The sequence below is a fragment of the Homo sapiens genome, chromosome 2, assembly GCF_000001405.40.
Source record: "Homo sapiens chromosome 2, GRCh38.p14 Primary Assembly".
In the NCBI taxonomy this organism is placed as follows: domain Eukaryota; kingdom Metazoa; phylum Chordata; class Mammalia; order Primates; family Hominidae; genus Homo; species Homo sapiens.
In genome coordinates, this window is record NC_000002.12 from 140,260,876 (window position 1) to 140,285,500 (window position 24,625).

The 24,625-nt window shown below is 34.7% G+C and overlaps 1 protein-coding gene across 3 annotated transcripts in view; it reads right to left on the reverse strand.

Moving 5' to 3' along the window:
• Nucleotides 1–24,625, reverse strand: part of LRP1B (LDL receptor related protein 1B) — a 1,899,594-nt gene that overhangs the window by 29,453 nt on the left and 1,845,516 nt on the right. For all 3 annotated transcript variants that reach the window (NM_018557.3, XM_017004341.2, XM_017004342.1), the window contains 2 exons: nucleotides 13,549–13,723; nucleotides 9,367–9,471 (listed from right to left, as the gene is read on the reverse strand). In NM_018557.3, coding sequence (NP_061027.2) covers nucleotides 9,367–9,471; nucleotides 13,549–13,723 — 280 coding nt within the window. The remainder of the gene's footprint in view (nucleotides 1–9,366; nucleotides 9,472–13,548; nucleotides 13,724–24,625) is intronic.

The following is a 24,625-nucleotide window of genomic DNA, read 5'->3' on the forward strand; positions in this document are numbered from 1 at the left end:
ATTTTCTGTCTCCACCCTCTTAGACATGAAGTTCCACAAAGCCAATTTTTTTTTGTCTGTTTTGTTCACTGATATGGCCTCTAGTGAATAGGACAGTGTCTGGTATATAGTAGTTGGTCAGTAAATATCTGTTGATGAGTGGATATAAGAGAATGTTGGTGAGATATATATATATGTGTGTGTATATATATATAATATATATGATGAAAGAAAGGAGATGTTAACAGTGTTAACAATAGGTTTTCTGTTACTCATTATTTTGGTTGCTAGTAACAATCTTTGTCTTTTCAGTGTCTACATAAGTATTTTAGAGAAATTTTGGAAAAATTTGTATCTGGGACTGTGATTCTGGCCCAAGCTGAAACCATTTCTCAACAAAGTCCAAATATAACTCACATTTAAATATATGAACCTCATAGTTTTATACTATTCTAGTGAACAACTAGTCCAAATCCATTATTTTACAGACAAGGGAAATGGGACACACAGAGGGGATGTAACTTGCCCAAAGAGACAGTGAGCTTGAATCTATAACATTGGATATAATATTTCTAATTCTTAGTGTTAGTTTCAGAAAATTAATGATATGAGGACCAAGGCATTTATGTAAATTTACAGAAGTTTATATCCTAGAAAAAATAGTGAAGTATGAACAAATAAACACACCTAATTATTGAATTATTAATAATTAGGTTGAATAACCTAATTATTAACACCGTTGAATAACCAACGGTGTTGGTTAAAGTAGAGAAAATTCAGATAATGGAACACTGGGCACCCATTAAAACTAAAAGCATTTAATTATACAAATTAACATGCAATGCTGTTTGTAATATATAGTAAATAAACATAAGAGTGTATCATAGGGTCTCATTTTTTAGTATATAATAATCTGCAAAAGTATATTTACATGAAGGAACTGAACGGAAACCAAAATAACAGTAGATAATACTAGGAAATGTGGATATTGTAAGAAATTCTCAGAATTGCTGATTTTTTATTTCTAAAAAAGTCTGTGGTCTCATAAATAATAAAATAAGGAAGGTGAATTTAATACTGGATTTGAAAAGTTTGTTTTTTAATTATGAGAGGAAATACTTTATATTATTCTCTGTTCAAATGGAGAAAGAATTGAGTTAGGTATCCTTAGGTATATAGAGAACCTTTACTAATTTCTCAGAAGAATTACTATTAAAAAAAAAGATCAGAAGAAAATGAAATATGTACAAAAATATGGACTTTCAAATATTTGCTACTTGACTACAATGCCGAAACTTTAGCCAGGAGCTTCTTGGGAAAATAGAAGCTAGAGTATGGAATGCCCAGGGAAACTCCAACAAGTTACCTTAATAACACCATATATCACAGTGGTACACCTTCAAAATTTAAAAATAAAAGCTAGTTTTAATAATAGTCAAAGTCACACAGAAATAAAAAAGACCTAGTGCCACAAAGCACAGATTTTAAGACTAATTTTATCTGTCCCCACATAGCATTTCTTTCCCATGGAAGTTTTTATATGTACATACTAGTATCATCATCTTAAAGAGGAAGAAACTAAGGTTTGGAGAGGCTAATAGGCTACACCAACAGTAATGGACGAATATGTATGTGAATCCAGGGAAGTCTGAATCCAGAACTTGTGTTCTTTCCTGTTAATGTTTCTTCTTGTGGAATCAACAGAACTTCTTTACTGTCTGGCTCACCTTTGATAGTGAAGATACTGGACAATAAATGGGTCCCTCTAGTGTTGTCAAGATAGGAGACTGATGTGAGCAGAATAATAAATGTAAATATGCATTCGAAATCCAGAAAACAAGAGGAATACTTCTAAAGGGGGGGAGTCCCTGACCTCCTCACTCTCCTCTACTATGTCCCTTTGTGAATGCCCAAGCACTGGTGATTTACATCCAGGAGAAGTTTATTAGTACATTTCAATATCTCCCTAGTCCTCAGTGGTAGCAGTCTGCAAGAGGAGTGGTTGCTGTGCTGTGGAGGATATATAAACAAAAAGGGGCTATGGAAATGTGCGAAAACCGATAAAAATATGTTTGTTTATTTGTTTGTTTTCTTTTTGAGACAACATTGCCCAGGCTGAAATGCAGTGAAGCAATCACAGCTCACTGCAGCCTCAACTTCTCCGGCTCAGGTGATCCTCCCAGGTCAGTCTCCCAAGTAGCTAGAACCACAGGCGCACACCACCATGCCTGGTTAATTTTGGTAGAGATGGACCAACTTTTGCCATTTTCCTCAGGCTGGGCCCGAACTCCTGAGCTCAAGTGATCCACCTACCTAGGTATCCCAAAGTGCTGGGGTTACAGGCATGAGCCACCACGCCTGGTCTGAAAATATGTTCTTAATAGACTGGCCACCCGTGGATCTTCCAGCCAAACTGCATCTGGTGATGCATCAAAAATCCAGCAGTCTTCCTTTATTTTGCCCTGTCTCTGACCCCTTTAGTACAAATGGCAGCAGTTATACTCAGGTGGTTGAATCCATGAGCCACACCCATAATCCTTTATAGCAAATGACTTTTCAGCCATACCCTTGATTTCTTCTTCAGAACCTATTTTCTACTTATTTTTCAACATGGCGAGGCTGAGAATTTTCCAAATCTTCAATTTCGCTTAACAATTCCTTCAATTTATCTTTCCCCTCTCACTGTTTACTATCAGCAGCAAGGAGAAACCAGGCCATGACTTCAACATTTCGCATAGTCTCTGCTAAATGTAAGATTAATCGCTTGCAGTTTCTACCTTCCACAAAACACTAGACAGAACAGAGTTCAGTGGAGCTCTTTGTCACCTTATAACAAAGATCACCTTTCCTCTAGTTTCCAAAAACATGTGCCTCCTTTCTATCTGAGACCTCACCAGAAATAACGTTAACATCCATGTTTCTACCAATAATCTCTTCAAAGTAATTGAGGCCTTTTTTTTTTTTCACGTGTCCCTCAACATTCTGCCATCTTCTACCCATTACCCAACTCCAAAGCCACAGTCACCTTTTTAGGTATTTGTTACAGCAGCACCACAATTCTGGTATCGAAATATTCATTAGTTTGCTATGGCTGCCATAAAATCCACAACAAATGGGTGGCTTACACAACAAGTTTATCTTCTTAAAGGCTGGAAATTGGGGATTGAGGCATCAGCACATTTTGGTCTCTTCTCACGCCTCTCTTCTTGGCTTACAGATAGCTGCCTTCACATTGTCTGTTCATTCACATGGCCATCACTGTGTGTACAATGTGTCTGATACTTCCCTCTCTGTTCTTATCACCCTTCTTACAAAGACACCAGTCAGATTGGATTCGGGATCACCATAATGAAACCTTTTTTTGTTTTGTTTTTTTGGTTTGTTTATTTTTTTTGAAACAGTCTTGCTGTGTCACTCAGGCTGGAGTGCAATGGCGCAGTCTCAGCTCACTGCAACCTCTGCCTCCCGGGTTCAAGTCATTCTCCTGCCTTAGCCTCCCAAGTAGCTGGGACTACAGGCATGTGCCATCACACCTGGCTAACTTTTGTATTTTTAGTGGGGATGGGGTTTCACCACGTTGGCCAGGCTAGTCTTGAACTATGTTAGCCAGGCTAATCTTCAACTACTAACCTCAAGTGATCCGCCCACCTCGGCATCCCAAAGTGCTGGGATTACAGGCGTGAGCCACCATACCCAGCCATTTGAAACTCAATCACCTCTTTAAAGGCCCTATCTCCAAATACAGTCCCATTCCAAGATACTGGGTATCAGGTCTTCAACATATGAATTCAGGGAGAGGGAGGCAGAATTCAGCCCATAAAATGACAAAAAAAAAAATTGTCTATATATGTGTGTGTGTGTGTGTGTGTGTGTGTGTGTGTGTGTGTATATAATTTTCCCACTGAAATTTAATTTATTTAGTTTGAGATGTTAAGTCCAATTCAATCAATATTTACTATATCTATGTGCCACACACAGGGATACCTGAGTTGAGATTAATGAGATAATAAGAGTTAACTAGAAAAAAAGGAAGAAGACACATTTGGGTTCAGTGAGCTATTTGACCCACAGACACCTAGGTGTGGAATGGTGCTGTGTTATGCAGTGAGTATATGTGTGTGTGTGCCTGTGTTCATGTTAATAGAATAGTAGTAGTGGGGCAGGTAGGGTAATTACATTTCTTTATTTTGAGCATGAAATCTATTGTGGATATTGCTGAGAAGTAATGCTGGGGATGTAAGTTTACAAAAAAAACCCTTAAATTCAATGTAAATAATAGTCTAACACTAGGGAAAAAATCTTAGCAGGTAGGAAGGCTTGGTCAACTTACTATTGAGCTCAATAATTCTTCACAGTAGTAGTGATTTCTATAGCTTACAATAAAACGTATTTAATAGTACAAACACTGTCAAAATAACACATTAGATTTTTTTAAAAAAACATTGTTTTAATATTATTCAATGTATCTACTTTAATAAATGTAAAAATGTCCCCCAAATAAATGCAAAAAAATCTAGTTTTTGTTCTTTTTCCTAGGCTTCTGTTGGCATTTTCTGTTTATTCCACACATAGTTATAAGTAAAAATGGCCATCAAGAGACAAAAGTGAATCCTTTCAAGGAACAAATTTATTCCTTAAATTGAAGGCTACAGTAATAACATTTCTATGTGGAAAAAACTGTCACCTTCATAGATCTGGATACTATATAGATAGTCCAAAAGTGCATAAGTTTTGCACAGTTCAAATAGTTTTTCACTCTATGAAGAAAATAAAAATATATTACCAACAAAAATAAAGCAAGCACTATACTGTATCTCTGAAAGCAATGTCTGTTTCCTGTAAATGTTTTTAGATGAAATAGTACATACTTACTTTTCATTAACAATACATGACCACTGCCAATTGAGATCCGTGACTAAAAACTATTTCCAAAAGTCTCCTCTGGTGAGGAGAATTGACCACTAGAAAGATATTCTGAGGGTTTCATGTTCCCTTAGCTGGACTTTTTTATTGTCCAGGGATCATTGACACTTTATTTTTAATTTTACTTATAGTCATTTACATTTTAGTACCATGTGATTTATAAATATCCTAGGTAAAACAAGCATAATCTTACATATTCTGGAAACTTCAAATCTGAGGAACATGACTGTGAAATCCTCCTGAACCATCTCTCTCTCCTTCCCAGGCCCTAATAGCAGGCCTTGAATAGTGCAAAATAGTCTTCTTAAATACATTAGTCTTTCTTGTCATAAAAATATTTTCCTCTAGATCCTACTTACTGTTTTTTTTTGTTTAATTCATAACCAAGTTTTCAGAAAAGAATCTACATTTTTCTCTACTTCTTCTCCTTTTGATTAATTAACTGTAGTCTGGTTTCTATCTCTATAGTGCTTCCAAAACATCTTTCACAATGGCCACCTAACTGAGAAATCCAATAAACCACTTATAACACTTGTCCTCTTTGAACTGTCTGGAGTTGATACTCATTGGCACTCTACTCCTTTGATTTGTAGGAATCTACTCTTCAGTAAATCTCCCTCAACTTCTAAATCTTCTCATTTACTTTTGTTGATTCCTGCTTGAGATAGTACCCAAATAGTGGTATTTCTGAGGGTTCCAACCTTCATTTCCTAATCCTCTTTCTATAAACCCACTCTTGTGTCATGGTATAAAATGTACCTAATAAACTGTCCCCAATATATCTCTTTAGCCTTCTCTTCTCCTGTTGTGCATATAACCTTTTTCTATTCTCAGCTACCTTGGCCTTTTATTTTTAGACCTATTCTCCTTTGATTGTGCTGTACCCTCTTTTGAAAAAAGATGTTCAACCCTTTCTTTCCTATAAAACTACAATATGTTTTCTAAAAATACTGTGAACATGTCTCTTCACGTATAAAGCCTCCCACTCTCCCACAGGAATCATTCATTGATCTCTATTTAATTGTTTTCCCAGAGCACTTTGGTTGTATTTCTATTATAATAATTAGCAAATGATATTTTAATTTTCTAAAAGCCATTCATCTTCCTAAAATGAATTTTAAGTTCCTCTAAAGTAAAAACTCTTGAGGTTGTTACAGCATAAAGACTGCAATGCAGTGTAAGAGTTATAACCAGGGTACGCACTTTAGAATTGAACAGGACTGGTCTGAGTCTCAGACATCCACCCCTTCCTAGTGTGTGACCTTAATGTTGTAATCTATGAAAAGGGAATAACAATTAGATAATAATACTACTTATGTGTAACAGTCTAACTTCACACATAAAATATGTGAAGGGTTTAACACAGTAAGTGGTACAGAGTATTTATTAGGTCAGTTTTAGCTGCTATTAATTAATTGTCTTCAAAAATTTATAGAGACTCAGATTATTACTAAATATTTAGTAAAGGAATTGATGAATAAACAATAACAGCGTAATTCTTCCTTGCTTCTTATATGGTTTAACTGGGTGAGGAATGCAGTATAGTCATCTTCAGTATCTGTGGGGAACTGGTTCCAAGACTTTCCTAGGATACCAAAATCCTTAGATGCTCAAGTCCCAGATAAAAAATATGGCATTGTGTTTGCATATAAGCTATGCACACCCTCCCCTATATTTTTAAATCATCTCCAGATTATTTATAATACCTAACACAATGTAAATGCTATGTAAATAGTTGTTTTACTGTATTGTTTAGAGAATAACGACTTGGGAAAAGTCTGTACAGAAAAATTGTGTCCGTGCTGAGCCTGTACAAACTTGAGAAAAGTCTGTACGGGGTCAGCACAGACACAATTTTTATTTCCAAATACTTCTGATTTGCACTTGGTTGAACCCACGAATGTGGAGTGTGGGGATATAGAGGGCTGATTGTATACACATTATGCCCACTATCAAAATAGATTTTAAGGCATAGAAGACCAAGGTACACACATTTCTAAAGAGCCACATACAAACAGAGATAGAGACATAAGTACACAAAAGTAGGAGAGGTTGCTCTAAACTACCACAATTAACATATTTTTTCCTGGTTGTGTTTATCAGATAGGCCAATTATCATTTTTAAATTGTATGATTTTGATGATACTTGGTAAGAGCAAAAAGTGGAAAAAAAAATCAACGTGGGCTGCTACACCCATGAGAGATTTTTATTCTGGTAATACAGGTACATTCTCTGCACAGGGAGTCCTCCTGAGACCTATTTATGGGTGGGAAAGGTGGGCCTGAAATGGATATATTTTGCCCAGAATTAGTGAGACAGGGGCAGGACAAATGAAGACTGGGATTCAGGAGAAGCCTTACTGGTGTTCTAAAATAGAAATAAAATAGGTACCTGAATCCATTTTTGGTCAAGGAGAACCTTAGGTATACTAACTCTGAAATGTTAATGAATCTATTGTTCTCTTCATTCTTTTCTCTGGTTGCAATGCCCAAGTTCAAGCCCTCATCACTTGTTACTTGAAGTGTGGTCAAACCTTTTGATGTAGAGTCCCTGTAGGTGATCTGCAAGACTTTCCTTTACATGCCAACAAGTATCACCTTCACAACAAAACTCCTTCAGCTCAAGCCTCTGCCTCAAGTCTCAGCAACTCATTATGAATAAAATAGTAGCATTTTGGTAATAAAATATCTGAATTTTAATACAACTGTGCTTTAAAACCACTATTAGGCACTTTGAGATTACCAGAAGTTATCAGATTCCAATCAGGGCTACTCATTATGACACTGGTTATTAAGGAGTATATGCCAGATGTGATCGATCTCTAAAGCTCAAATGCACAATGCAAAAATAATTTCCATTGTCATGAACATTGACAGTTACCCTAAAGGTGATCCTGGAAATTTCTCAGAGGAGATATGAGTTTACTATTGCATATATGTTCAAAACACCACAAACTGAATCAAGAAAGAATGACTTAAACTATTAAGAAATAAAATTTCTGGAAATTTTTCAGACTGTAAAAAAGGTCTTACTCTAAGATCTTTCATCTATAAAGAGGTCTTACTGATGAAGGTAGGGCAGTTCTCGGTAAAATTTTGGGAAACAAAATAGAGCGCTTCATCTGTGCTTGAAATCAAAAGTCAGTTACTAAATAAAAATTATTCCAAATATAGCATATGGAAGTACTCTTAAAACACCTGCTTCTGTACTTCTCTAATTAAAAGCTACTATTTTCTAGCAAATGTATTTTTATTAGACAGTTCCACAAGCTTTTTCATTTTCTCTGTTATATTTCTGGACACTCTAGCAGTCTGTGGTGCACACACTTGTTGGTGAGTGAAGCAAAGGTTAAGTGTGTATGACACAGATGAGCCCCGAGATTAAGTATACTCTGTGAAATGCATGTGGATGTTCATGATTTAAACCAATGAACTGTGGCCTGAAATGATGTCACACGAAGCGCAGCGATAAGTGGAAGTTTAAACCTACTTGCATCTCGGCTCATTAAACGCAGTTAAAGTGCAAATCCCCTCATTCTGACAGTAGTGATCACAAGGGTTCTCTTTCTGGTCACAGCGCTGACTTTTAAACCCCACAGAGCATCTGCAGAATTTCAGTAAAATACAGCTAAATAAAGCGTCTGACTTGTTTTGCCAAATATGTTTTAAATTCATTTCATACAGAGATAGTAACATTCAAACGAAAAGGTTCCCAGATATGCGCACTTCTCTCTCAAACACACTCATCACATGCTACTCTGACAAGGTCGGGAGCAGGATGCAGATGTGGGTTATATGTGGGCATCATCCTTTTGGTCAAACAGTGATGAAACTCACAACAGTGACCATGTAATCTGAATAATTTTATTTCAAATTGTCCACTCTGGACAATCAGATCATGGAGGGGGGAAAATACTAAATTCCAGATTTTCTCAGGAGTACTGTGAATATACCCAATACGTTTCCTAGGTGTTGAGAAACTCAGACACTCAAGTTATTCTAAAGGAGCCAGGGGCTTAATAGGTTTACATAATAAAACAGTCTAAGTCTCATACAAACATCAACTAGCATTATACATATGAAAGAATATTACAAGTTCTTGTGAAAAAAAATGGCCATAAGTACCAAAGTATTCATAAAAGATGATTATCTCTGGGCTTCACATATCAGAATCAGGTCAATAAAATTATAACAATTTTCTCTGGCATTTGCAAGTTCAAAGGTCTATGCATGTCTGAAATGGTACGATGCTGAGAACAGAATGAGCTCTTCCTCATGAAATCATTAGCAATTTGATGAAAGGAGATTCTGCAGCACATGAGCTGATGAGGGACAATACTTGATCAGAGATGTCCATGAAACACTCATTTAAAATTACCCCAGAAAAGGAGAATAATAGAACAGGGATTTCATGTACATACAAAGGCTTATTATAAGATGCCCATGACTTGATTAAATACTCACAGACACACAGGTACATTTGTCTCGGGGTCCAGCTGGCATGTGCCACCATTGTAACAGTAGCCATCACATAACTGACAGCTAGAGGCAATCTTTCCATTAGTGCAGCTGCAACAACAAAGAAAAAAAGAACAATTTCATTGTTATTGGCAACATTATTGCTGAAAGCTGACATAAACTCTCTGTGGATGAGAATATTCATCATATAGGAGAGATGGAGTGGCTGGTTAAAAGGAAGTTTTCAGGAAGTCTGACTCACTAGAGGCAGTTTAATTTATGTCAGAATGATGTCATAAAATTTTTCTTCTGATAATTCTCAAATTTTCAACCAGTTCATTTAATATAAACATTTTATACAGCTAGATATATGTGTGAAAAAATATACTCTAATATCTATCATTTACACTTCTGGGAGACATTAGCATCAGTATCTTGTTCCTTTTTCATGTAAGTAGGGTTTGGTGACATCTGTGTGAATGATAAACCACATGATCAAGTACTCTGGAAAAACGTGCTTTAGCTTTTCTTCTAAAGTGGAAAATCTGTTTCAAAGAATGCTAAGACTTTTAGACCCCACATTTCATAAGAAAGTGGAGGGTTATCCTGTAGCCACTTTTATCCCACTGTTTCTCTTTGAGTATGTACTGTAACTAATGTCAAACTATTTTTATTCTAACATAAAAAAATCATGGAGTAGTTCATAAAAAAACAGTTATGTTATAGGAACAATGTGCAATATGGCAACAAAGTAATGAGACAGGCTTTCTTGAAAAACTTACCAAATGTTTCTAAGTTAAAGTCGCATCACAGGTTAGGGACAAGAATAAATAGCTACTGCTACACTGTAAAAATAAACATAACAATACTGGGAAAAACGCAGACATTTTTTACTTGCCATGTTACATTTTTTTAAATAAACAAATAATTAGATTGGACAGTGAAAACTGTTGAGTGAATGCAGAAATGTGCATCAACATTTCAAATTATCCCGGGACCTACTCTGTGGGTCAAAACCAGAATTAACAACAGATCATGCTGGCAATTCTGATCATGTGGTCACACCAGTATTAGCTGCTATGAAACAATCAATGGTATCACAGTGCATCTGGACATAACCTTGACAAAAAAATCAGGCTACAATATCGATTGATCACTTTGATCCTCCCCATGATGGATATCTATTGCAGTACATCTGTCATAGGGTGATTCCTAATGATAGGTGAGATGCCTAAAAATAATCGGTTGACATGTAGTTCATTTATTCTGTGCATGTTTATTTGACCTCATGTGGGTTGTGTAGCTACTGGAAATGCCCTCAACTGCTTTTAACATTAATTGGTGTTTAATTTGAAGATGTTTCTGAAAAGCTTAGTTTGTGAAATCACATTTCTTTTCAAGGTAAACAGGAGCAGTGAGCAGTGTAACTATGTACAAGATGTGAAATAAAGATACAGGTAAACAGAACAAGACATAGAGAAGGAGTGGGTGGTCTCAAGTTTGTACAGAGACTATCCCATCCTTTATAACCTATAGAGGCACCCTAATATGGATGCAGTGAATTAATTAGCAATCAGTGGTATTGGTGTCTAATAGACTAAGTGCATCTGAGGGACTTTTACTTGTCCTCCATGCCCAGCCTCTTTGAAAATAATAAAGTCAAAAAATTATAGTTTCTTGTTTTATCAAAGGAACAGCCTCAAAAGGGAAAATTAGCTCATTATACATTAAATGATTTTCTACAAAAAAAAGATAACTGTTTATCAAATCTCATCATCTAAAAGACAAAAAAACCTGATTGCTTTTAAACCTGTGTTTCCAATGGATACAAAAGATGTTGCCTCTTTTTCCCTCTAAAGTTTGTGTTTGAATCCTAAGTTGAAGACAGAAATTTGTAGACATTTTAAATGTGAAATACAAATAGTTAAAATCATTACAATACATCAAAGAGTGCAGCTCATATTTTAAAGTAAATTTTCATAATTTTCTTTTTTAGAGGCATTCAGCGTATGTGCACACACAAACACACACACACACACACACACACACACACACACAGAATATGTGATGTATCACTTTCCAAAAGTTAATTACTAGTTATTCAGTCCATACAAATAGTTCCCATGACAATGGTCATCAAAAAGACATAATTTAGGTTATTCAAGATTATGATCAAGTCTTTCTTCACCAGTATTCACTTTGATTTCCAGAAAAGAGAAAAATATGCAATTGGCTCTGTTTTAAAGATTATACTCACTGTACTTGATAGAGTACCTGTTCTACTTAACAGTTCATAGGCTGTGTATTAGAAACACAACTGCCTATTTGTAATAACAAATATACTTGATGGCTTGAATTTTCCTAATTAAGTAAAAATGATTAACTTTATTGCAATTTTGTTTTACTATCTGTTCTTTACCTATAAAACAGAAATTCTAACATCACTAACTTCATTTTAATGCTAATGTGAAAAGTATCATAGAAATAAAAATGAACTTTAATCATCTAACATGTTTCAGAAAATCCAAAGAATTATGTTTGTATTGTCATGTTCAAGTGTTATAGCCTATTTAATAAATCAAGTATTATATTCCTAGTTTAAAAGTTCCACTATCTCCTCATTGTTAGCAATTGTTATTTATCCATTTTTATATATACATTTCCAAAAAGATCATTTAAAAAACACAAACTCTTATGTTGCACCTCAATAGCCTGCTCATTGTGAGAATCTGGTGTTTCTGTTTTGGAGAAGGGACTTTTGACTGTATAGCAAGCGATACTGAGGGACCCTGATCCCTGCCCTTTCTTCCTTACATAAAGGGAAGAGGGTCTGCATCTCCACATGAGCTTTTCCAAGGTAAAATGGGTAGGAAACTTTGGCTCACACCATTTCTCAGATGTGATCTCGGATTACCCCAGAGATCTCAGCCCATGATCTCTGGGGTAAGTGGAATGGAGTTGTAAAGAAGATTCCACAGCTTATCCTGATATGGTGCACAAGACATAGAGAACAATGTACGCTCACTAATTGAAATACAGTTCTGTCATGCTACAGTTTCATCACAAAGAACAAATGAGCTTTATGAGGAAACATGATTTGGACGCATGTTTCACTTTTATGTACTTATCAAAGGCACATAGTTATATATCAGTCATATTTTCAATTACTTTACTAAAAAATGTACTTTCAAATATCCCAATTTTGCAGGTTTGCGTAAATGTCATTCATAATGATAATACAAATCATATTTAAATTCTAAAATGAGAGTAAATAAAAAAATGTTGATGCTCTTTGCAATCAAATTTTATTGGGCCTTGTTTGGCAGAGCAACATAACTCATTCGGCACCCTTGGTGAGCTCTCAGCGGAAGCTGTGACATGGACACTTTATGGCATGCTTTCCTGTCTCATATTCTTATTTATTATACTCCCAAGCAAGGCAAGTGATAGAGTCCAGTTCTTTATAAGCCCTTCCTTTAAAAAGCTATTAAAAGAGGTCTGGAGTGAGGATTGATCTCTAACCTCAGTGGCATAAACTGGTTTCACGATAGAAACTGAATGGCACAACCCTTTAGCCGCAATGTTCTGTTTTCCATTCACTTAATCTTAAAGCCAAAGAGCAAAAGGCAGTGCAATGAAAGTCAAACTCGAAGATTTTTGTTTTACTTATTTCCCAGAACACATTATTCCTTCTGTTTGCTTTGATCATAATGTTCAAAGTCAGATTAAGAAAAAAGGATTAATGTGTGTTTTCATTAGACAGGTCTTTTGCTCCTCCTTCAACAAATCAATTTGCAACAGAAAAGCAAACCTACTTATTGTCAATAACAATGATGAAACAATTAACAGCCTGAGCTAATCTAATTGAATAATATTACATGTAGTTTTTGAAAGTATGCTGAATGCCAGCATTTCTTGCTTACTCAGGAATATTTGGTATAGGGAATGATATGACCGTCTTATTACATAATGGATTTTCATAATTTCTAGATATTCACAATAGATGTTGAATAAGTTCAGGTCAAATTAAAGTGAACTAGACTTACTCTCTAATCATAAAAACTGCAATGGGCACAATACGGAATTTTAGAATAAAAACAATCTACAAAGTTTTTACTATTTATTACTGAACTGCAATGTCCATTGGTGTCCAAATGCTTTTATAAATTAAGCTGGGTGTCCACTTACTTGCAAAATATATCTTCACTGTCTTTATTTATAATGCAGTGCCCCCCATGGCACCTTACACACTTGTCAACCTCACATTTTGGTCCTTCATAGCGCGTTGGACAGACACATTCAACACTTCCATCATCCCCAATGGTACATGATTCAGAATTCACACAATAGTGGTGGCACACGTCTAGGAAAAAAAGGCACAACAGAAAAATAAAATTATATTACAGGACATTTTTCTTCAGTCATAATTAAGGTGACCCTTTCATTTATTACTTAAAAATAATAGGTAGATTAATTTACAAAAGCAGCTTATAATTACACATGAAGTAGAATTCTTTAATAATGCTATTGATTCTCCTCTTTGAATTAGGCATCATTTTCCTCTGGCTAAGAGAGCTTATATTGCTATAATGCTAGGTGACAAACTCTTTTGGTTCTGAATATTAAAGCTTAAGTTAACAAGTTCCCTTAGCTTTCTTTCTAATGAACAACGTAAGTATAGTTTGAAATGAACAGAAATGCTTAACATTTCTTTGGATGTCATTTATTGTTGCCTCCTTCACACCTCTTTTCATCTAGAGAACAGAGTAATGTTTGGTTGTTGGACGCCGAAAGAATGAGGGTCGTGATTACATCGGTATAGCACTGGAGGCTATATGAGTAAGCCACAAACTTTCTCATTAATGCAGAACATTGTCAAACCAACAAACTGTGTATGCCACCCAGAAGGACTGCTGAGAGCAGTCAATGATCCAGGCACAAATGTTTCTTATGATTAGGTATAATTGAAGCCTGTCAGTAACAATACAAACCTGTGATCAATTAAGCAGTCTACCTGCTCTTGTTACCCAATAAATAGGAAGGGCTGTAGAAGCTCGGCAGTTGCCTTTGCTCACTAGAAGCAGAGAGCTCTCTTCTTCTTCCCCTGGCCCTTTCCTTAAAGCAGTTTCTTTTGTCTTAAGTTTTCATTTCTAAGTTTGTCCCTTCATTCAGTCTTGTAATGACGGTCTCAATCACTAACAGTAGTAACTGCTGTAATGACGGTCTCAAGTAGTCAAAGTGGCAGTCAGCCACATGTGGTGAGCAGAGGACTCATACCCCTGCACCAGACTTTAGTGTTGTGGAAAGAAGCTTCCCTGTACACGTAGCAGAACAAACCCAGGTATTTTCTGCATGCCTGAGCAGGTGAGCAAACAACGAGTTATGCCTCTCATGGAACTCGGAGAGGAAAGCAAACTGGGAGACTAACTGATCCATCATTCATGGGGAATAATAACAGAAATCTAGGCTATTATCCTTTTCTAAGGTAAGAGACTAATCTTCCCATCAGTCACGAAACTCCCTGTAATCTGAACCTATTGTTTTGAAGGCCATTTCTCATTGAGCGTCACAGACGATTTTCTCAACTAGGAAGGAACACTTCACCCAAATATTTCTATACCCCTTGAACATGCATAATGAAACAAAGACTATTTAATAATATAACAACCACTCTAACAATAGAATTAGACATTCTGCTTCTGTCTTTTGAAAAGCAATCATGTCTGTTTTTATATATGAATATATTATAATTTATCACACTTAAATATTGAAATTAATAATATAAATGATCCTATGCAAAATAATTGATTAAATTGATTCCAGACTTTGTGTTTAGAAAATGCAGTTTCCTTTTACCTATTTAATTGTGAAGCAATATTAAATGAGATTAGCTGAGATAAAAATCACAATTTATAAACTTCATCCTGCTATATTGACAATTATAATGGGTAAGAAAAATTAAAACATAATTTATAATTCTCATGTTTATGTTTATCTAGCCCTTTATTAAATCAGACAAATTAAATTTATTGACAGACTTGCTTCATATTTATGGAAATTTATTTCAAGCATTCCCATGCTTGCTGTTGCACTGTGCCAGGTACCTTCATTGAGATTTAGGGTTGAAGCCTATTAATACGGGTTTTGGCTATATTTAAGACATATAGCACTTTCAAAAGGTAAGAGAGTTGGAGATCTGAAATTTAACATAGTGTTAGTAGCCATACATTATGGTTTCTGTAGTTGTTCTAGGCTTGGAGGGTATATATACACAACACAAATGCTGTTTTTATTTATGAAGAGTATATCAACAGCAGTCTATGTGATCATCCAGGACAGCCTCCCATTCAATGCAGAAACCTCTGAAGAACAACCTTCTTTAGGCAGGTTGCAAGATACCTCTAACTCATAAAAAGCTCTTTTAATATTGTCCCCAACTGCTTTAAAATTTCATCCACTGGGGCTGATTAGCTGTCTGATGAGACATAGAAGTCTAGTGATGTTTCTTTGCAACATTTTTTTACTATGTCATTATTCAAAGGTTGCCATGGTGGATATAATTAATTATAGAATCATATAGGGAACTTATTTGCAGATGAAAATTCCAGTGCCGTTCCCTGCCACCCACTCCTAGATTATAATTCATAGGTCTGAAATGGGGCCCAGGTAGTTCCCATGGGAACTAGAAAATGTAAGAAATGATGATCTGGAGAGAATTTTACTAGTTGGCAAAGAGACTACATTGTCTAATACTTGTAAATAGATTTGATTTGACCAAAATAGCTTATTTATTAACTAACATTGAAAACCAAAATTAAAATGTAATTTTTCATGTAAAATTTTGAAGCGCTTTTTTTTTATAACTATACCCCTGAAAAGACCCAAATAACTAGAAAAAAATGGATTAATATTCTGGAGGTTGATGAATGTCCAGGACCACACTCCAGCAAAGAGTAGTTTGCATTTAACTTAAAGTACTAAAGGTCAAAGTTAAAAACTTATCTGCAGTATGCTAATTATAAGTAATTTTGTGCATAAATTAAATCTTAGATTAAGATTAAAAAGATGGGCTGGGTGCGGTAGCTCACACCTGTAATTCCAGCACTTTGGGAGGCTGAGGTGGGTGGATCATCTGAGGTCAGGAGTTCGAGACCAGCCTAGCAAATATGGTGAAACCCCCTCTCTACTAAAAATACAAAAAATTAGCTGGATGTGGTGGTGGGCACCTGTAATGCCAGCTGTTCAGGAAGCTGAGGCAGGAGAATCGCTTGAACCCAGGAGGCAGAGGTTTCAGTGAGCCAAGATTGTGACATTGGAGTCACGTGACATTGGAGTGTAAACTCCAGCCTGGGCAACAAGAGTGAAACTCTATCTCTAAATAAATAAATAAATAATAAAAAATAAAATGAAAAGATGAGCGCCTGTACATAACTCACTAGCAATCAAGGAGATGAAAATTAAATTAACACTTCAATGAAATACCGATACACACCCACCAGACTGATAATACAATAATAGTGGAAACTCTCATCTACTACTACTCGTGGGAGAGAATGTTGGTGCAACCAATTTGGAAAACGGTTGGCAATATCTCCTAAGTTTCAGCATACGCACACCTTATGACCTAGCACTTCCACTATTAACATATACCCAAAAGAAAAGCATGCACATGTATGTCAAGAAACATACACATAATATGCACAGCAATATTTTAAAAAGCCCAAATTTTAAGAAATCCAAATGTCTGTCCCAAGAATGGATAAACTATGTTTCATTTATACAATAAAATGCACATATACAAACACACACACACACACACACAAAATGCAGCTGTAAGCAAAAATATGGATGAATCTCACAAAAATTGAGAAAAATAGACACAAAATATGTATACTACATTTTTATATTTATATAAGGTTCAAAAGTTAAGTTGAATCTATGGTTTTAGAAGTCAAGAAGGATTTATCTTACAGGAGAGGAGAAAGGAGAGTGATGAATAACATGAGGGAACTTTTGCAGTGCTGATAATGTTTTTCTTGAATGCTGGTTTAAACTGATGTGTACACCTTGTAATATTTAATTGAACTGTTTACTTGTGATTTTTAAACTTTTCTGTGTATATTACACTTCAACAGAGAATGCTTTTTCTTTTTAATAAAAGGCACATAAGCAACCTTAGAATGTTTTAGAAATTCTCATTTATTTCGCTAACTAGGCTAAATAGTTTTTCTCTTTGTAGGGACAACTTTTAAAAGGAATTCATGGTTCACTTTTTATGCTTTACAGAAAATCCTTCACTCTTTAATGCGTCCAATTTTTTTTCATAGCATGTCAGATGCGCATTATTCAATGCAGTTGATTGGCCTCATGGCATAAAAATGGAATCCAAGACTGTAAAAGAAAGGTTTGCTTATGATAAAATTGGGAAATAAGCAAATATTAGAATTTACACTTTAATAAATAATTCTAAATTGCATGTTTTTAAGCCATGCCATTTTTTCCCCTCTAAAAATGGCAGAAATCATTTTATGCTCTGAACCCTTTCTCTACAGATATTCAAATGGGAAGACATTTCATTTCTCCCAGTTCTCATTCTTAACACTCCATGCTGAGTTGAAATTCAGGGGCAAAGAGTTGCTCACTACACTCCAGCCCTGGCAGAGTTGCCTCCCATTGCCTTTCTGTGAAAATCTTCTATCTCCAGTTATTTGGCTTAATATTTGAAGCATGTGGAAGCTGCTGAGTTAGATGTTTGACTGGACTGTGTTCTGCACCCCGGTTAGGATTCTAGGGCCTATTCTTCGACGTTTATGTAATGTCTTTGTCCCTTTCTCTTGCCTCCTTCCCTCTCCACTCTCTCTCTTTCTCTCTTTCTTTCTTGTCTTAAAGGCTTTACTATTTACTCATTTCCCACTCCAAGACTCCTGAACACAGGAGAAAGCAGATCTTAATAATAGACTTTAGCATCTGATATTTTAGCTACGATGCAATCATTGGATACTTGTAAATTGTAAAGCAAAATAATCTCTTCAAGTGTCCTCTGTTATTTCAAGTGTTATCACGGTGCATGCTATGTGCAAGTCCAGGAAAGAGTTTGAAACATCTGATGGTGTTGTCTATTTCTAAACTGGGTGATTCAAACAAAGCCCAGGTTTTCTGTAATTGACTCAGAGTAATATCTGCAATGTTAATAAATCATAAGAATGCCAGTTTAATTTTTCTCTCACTCCCTTCACATCTATAATGCACTTAGAATTACAAGCATCTATGTAAACTTGTATAAATATGTGCCATATTTTCATCAGTGTCACCTCTCTATATACTCTCACATAATTACTACACACTCATATTTAAATTCCAAGTATCAGTTCAGCTATTTATCTAATAAAATGAATACTTCATTGGTACTTAGCCCAGTGGAAACTGGCTTACTAATTTAGCAAAGTATGAAGAATAGTATATGAGAAGGCTTCTTCAGTATGTAATTGTTTACTTTGGTTCTAAAGGTTACTTTACTGATCTATAAGCTCTGAAGAAAAATAGAGAAACTTAATAGTTACTAAATAAACACCATTTTATTTTTTATACCACAGCACTAAAAATATTAATGATCCCATCGAGGTGACTACTTTAAGCACCAAAAATACTTTAAAACCATTTTGAAAGTAGCCTTTATAAAAGATAGATACATATTTTCTTAAGTAAAATGTATTGATATTTTACTAATCATTTATCACTAAGAGGATCAATTATTTGTATGAACTTACCTTTGTTGAAGTTTTATAGCCTTCGGATTTATTTTTTATATTTCACTTTTGCTAAGTGAAATGTTAGTGAATATGGAGAAGTAGGCAAATCTAAATGAAAAACTTAGTAATTTCCCCAAAAATAAAGGAGACAGTAGGCAGCAAAGGATGGCCTTCTACTTTCTAATACAGATACACAACCACTCAACTCACACTCCACTTTCACACACAAATTTGTATGTGAAATTTGTTGTTCAAATTTGAAATTCAGCTTAGTAATTAGTAGCACTAAAATAAAGTTGGAAATAGTGATAGATGGAAAATGACAGTTTTAGAAGAAAAATATAGATAAAAGATTTTGTTGTTGTGGGGGGTGGTATAAAGAAGGGATTCAAGATAGAAAAGAGTGGTTGAAGACAAGATGAGTCTAGGTACATTGGTCAGTAGAAACAGTCGATTTATGAACTGTACAGTTAATCATCTTATGAACGATGTGTAATTTGGCTATAAATATAAAATGGAAAGGATGAATTCATAATTGATTATTTGCTGTGGACATGTATGTGCCTTATTGTATACTAGGAACCCTGGAAAGAGCTCAGAAATGCATGATGGGACACTAGCTCTGAGATAACTGACAAGTCAATCATAAGGTTAAAGCAAGAAGAAAAAAGGACCCAACATTGATCTAAATGGTTACTGTGGCAAAAGCCTAAACTTATTACTACCCAAAGTAATGTCTTCCTTCCTATTGAGCATTCCATCTCATAAGTTTTGAGCATTTTACTGACCTGAATGGCATAACAGACGAGATAGTCTATATATGGTAAGAAGGAATAATAATGAAATGTAACTAATCTGTTCTAAGAAAGTAGAGTGAACCATGAACTTACACAACCCTTTATATTCACAATATAAAAATTTTTATAACCTCTGTTAGGGTAATTACACTAAGAACTACCTAGTAGCACCAAACACAATAATGTAATCTAAAGGACAATGATGAATATGTAATTACAGAGTATTCATATGGTAATTAGGTAGATAGTAACTGAAGAATAAATGAATGGCTAATGTCTGCCACAGAAGTAAAGTAATTTTCAAGGGAGATCATTATTGCACACTCTCTCTTTTTCTTTCTCTTTTAATGTTTCTTTTCATGTAACCAGAAATACAAGTAAATATATTTTCCTTTAATCTTTTCACAGTAATAGACTCTACATAAAAATATGTGCGTGTATGTGCAAATGCACAGGTTTACAAATATTTATGGAAAGCCATATAGCTATACAATCTATAACTGCATTTAACTTATTTCCCTAATATTTTTCTATAGAAAAGTAATTGCCAAAACTATTTAGCTATTTACTCATATTTGCAACTGGGCTATTCACATTGTAATAATTAGTGAAGTGTGAAATTTAAAGAGAAGAAAATCAAAATAAACTAATATCAGCTAAGCAGGGTATGAAGATACCATATAAGGATAATAAGAAACTGGAGAGCCTTTAATGGCTAATACAGAATGATCATATAGGAGAAACTATATGAGAATTAGACATTAATATTATTGCATTTTATGAATGGACACTTATTGTTCTACTTCACTGAATTTTAATCTGGCCTTTAAAAATAAATTTTGTGAAATGGTTTTATATTCATCATTTAAGTATGCATTTGATAATTTAAGGCTGCATTCACACACACAAACCAACAACAAATTAAAAGTAGGATGGAATTACCATCACAAAGACTAGGTAAATTTCACAGTGCATATCCCCAGGCATTCTGTAACTGAGGAGCCAGTTTCCGTGCAATTTATATTCCACCTTCACTGTTATATTTAATTGTGTCCCAGAGGCAGTAGATCCTATGAATTCTGCTGATATTATCCCTGCAGAGTGGTTTATGGTTGCTTCCATATCTGTATGAAATGTAGAATTTCCAGAGCAACCAACAATATAATTTTATAAACTTTTGATGAATACTTATACTGGGATGAGATAATAAGGAAAAGAAAAAAAAATGGCCAGAATTTGAGGTACTGGAAGCCTAAGTCCAGTCCTTCCTCGGTCTAACAATATGACCTCACCTGAGTTTCCTGATTAAGTTCTCCAAGATATCCTTTGGCCATCTTTGAACTGAGGCAGTTACATTAAATCATGCCCAAGATTATGTCATGATTCCTTCCTCACCCACCAATTTCCAATGGTGCCCTCTATCTAGGTTTAGCACCTTCTTTTAGTAAAATGATGTAAATGATAATTACGATGTTGATAAACACTCATTTTTCAGTGTCTCCTACATGCCAGGCACATGGGTTTTTGGTATAGTCAGAGGCATTAGATGGTGTTACCCTCTTTTTATAGATAAATAAACTGATGCACATAGAGGTTAAGCAATTGCCAAGGCTTGCACACAAACAAGAGGTAGAACAGAACTTCAAATCCAAATAGGCCTAACTCTAGAGGATAAACTCTTATTTTTCATATTTAGTGATTCATAAATACGTTCAGGAAAACAAATCTACAAAGTGATTTGAATATCTTTGCTGTTCTCTTTCCTTTCTGTGTATTTAAAATGGAAAGTATCCCATCTCTGTGGACATCTTAGGACCTACCCAGCAGTTGGAATATTAAAGGATCCTGTAGCAGCAAAGGCAGCAGACCCACAAGAAGTCTGCACGATAATGACACAGCCTATAATCTCAAAGCTCAGGGACACAAGCTGGCATTCTCACACCTGAGCTGAAGGTTCAAATGTCAGATGTTATCCACTGCAGTCTCTCATTCCAATCCAAGTTAGATGTTTGTCTCTCTATCTATGGATAGTTGGTTCAAAGCATGGGATTCTCACACTTGTAGAAAACACCCAACCATCAAGGTGATCTATTCATTATCAGACATGATCAACTCTGGGTCACTCTAAGCAAATAAGAAACCAAAATAATAGCCGAGAAATCACAAAGTAAGACATACCTACAGCATTATCATTTACTTACATCTAATTTCGGATGAGGACATTTGAAAGGTTTTCTGGAAAAGTTTTATAATTCTTAAATATGTTAATAAGAGCAATTGTGGACTTTCATTACCTAGAGATACATAGCAGATGAGTGTCAGTTTTTCATCTAGCATGGCTTAGGAGTCAAAACACATAGAGTAACTTGTATACATTGTATACAATTTGTATAGAATTTTATGTCTTTGAAGAATTAAATCAGGAGATAGAATTTAAAAAGACTTAATATTGGGATTTATCCTTTTTTACATTCCTCAAATGTTTTACACAGCCTAAGATTTTTAATAATTAAACTTTAGTGCATAGTGCTAAATATACCTTCCAAAGTCAGAGCTGTGTTTAATAAAGTAGGCAAACATTAAATCCAGGTATGCCAATTAAATATTCACTGAGGAAAAAATGCCTGCAAAACTCTGATTAGAAATGATAAATTTTCATCATGAAAGCATGCCTAAGGAAATACCACTTTCTATTATACTAATGAAAATAGTAATGTATTCCAAATATTTCTATATAAAGGAATTTTGAAAATTAAAGAATAAAATCATCTTGATCAGTGACATCTCTAAGTGTCCAGGGAGATGGAAAATGTAAAACTCAGCCAAATTATCAAAAATTTGATTTGAGTGAGTGACATATGGGGTGGGATTTTTAAAGTATCAGCATTTAAATTTTTGACAAACTGCCATTGTAAAATGCATATTAACAATGATGGCATCAATAGTTTTCAAAATAGTCAAAAATCAACTCATAGAGCTATCATAACAATGTTTTAATGAGACAAACTTATAGGAGGTATTCATAATTTTTGTTTATAAACAGTGTTTTGGGTTGAGTAGTTCTTTATTTTTAAAGTAGTCCAGCTATAAAAGATTTTAGCAAGTAACTGTAAATGGTAAAGTCATCTGAGACTTGTGAGCAAGCTGAGTTGCAGATGACAGCTAAATATGGCTTATCAGATGAGGCTAACTGAAACCCAAATAAGTGAATAAGCATATGAAGGCCTGAAAAAAGAATGGAAATGAAGCGTGCAAATATAGGCCACGCCTCCACAGCCATAAACAAGCCATTTGCCATATTTAGGCCCTAATTTCTCTATCAAGACACTGAGTATGTATTAAGGTTCAATTAATTTCAGCCTGATACAATTAATTAACATATACTGTGTTAGTATCTACAGTGTTAATATTTTACATGCCTCCAGAGTGCTTAAATTCTGATAGAATCCTAAAGGCTAACATAGTTGAAAACAATTATCAATACTAGATTTTCATTAACAAATACATGGCTTCCCCCCCTCCCCCCCAAAAAAAAACCGTTTTTCAGAGTGCAAAGTAATGACTCAATTTTCGAAAACTGGAAAGGAATTCATGGAGAAATGCATGGTGGATAAAGCTGGATAGGAGGTAATCATGAAAAAGATTTCTATCTCAGATGAGAGCATCATGAGGAAAGTTATTGTCATCATGTTGTATGTAGCCTAACTGGAGGGCAGGCAACATCTCACCTCATCATAGTGAGAGAATACAACACCATCTTATACACACCCATACAGTTCCTAATTTTATCTTTCCCTTCCTGTTTCCTTTTTCATTCTTTCCTCCTTTCTTTCTATCTCTTTTATATCCTTCCATCCTTATTTTCTTCCTTCTTTCAAGCTACCCACTTCAAATCTATAGTTGAAGCAACGATTTCTGATATACATAAATGTACTTTGCTTCTAGTTTTTTTTTTCAATGTTACAATGCAACCAAAAATATGAGTGAAAAGTTAGATGATAGATAAATAGAGGGATGATAAAGATAGATGTATATTTGTCTCTCTATACATATATCTTGCTACCACCCCAGTGTAGAAATCTCTATGTATATATCTATCTATATCTATATATGGATATCTATATACCTATATACCTAGATATACCTAGATATCTATATATAACTCTGTATAACTAGATATCTATCTCTATATGTACCTAGATGTTCATATCCATATACCTAGATATCTCTCTGTGTGTGTGTGTGTATATATATATATATATGGATATCTATATACCTATCTATATATTTATATATGGATAATCCCTATATCTCTCTCTCTATATATATATGTGTGTGTATATATATGTGTGTGTGTAGATACACATGTATATATGTGTGTGTAGATACATATACATATCTACATCTATATCTATATATGGATATCTATGGATAGAGATATAGATAGGTATATGTATCTACACATATATATACATAGAGAAATTTCTATATTGTGTGATAGCAAGATATATATAGATAGGTGTGTATATATACATACACACACATATACACATACATATGTATATATGTGTACATATATACACATACATATATATACACACATATATATATATACACACAGAGAGAGAGATATTTCTACACTGGTGTGATAGCAAGAAGAAAAACAGATTATGTAGAAGTGATTATTATTTAATCAGAATTCACTAAAATATTGAGAGT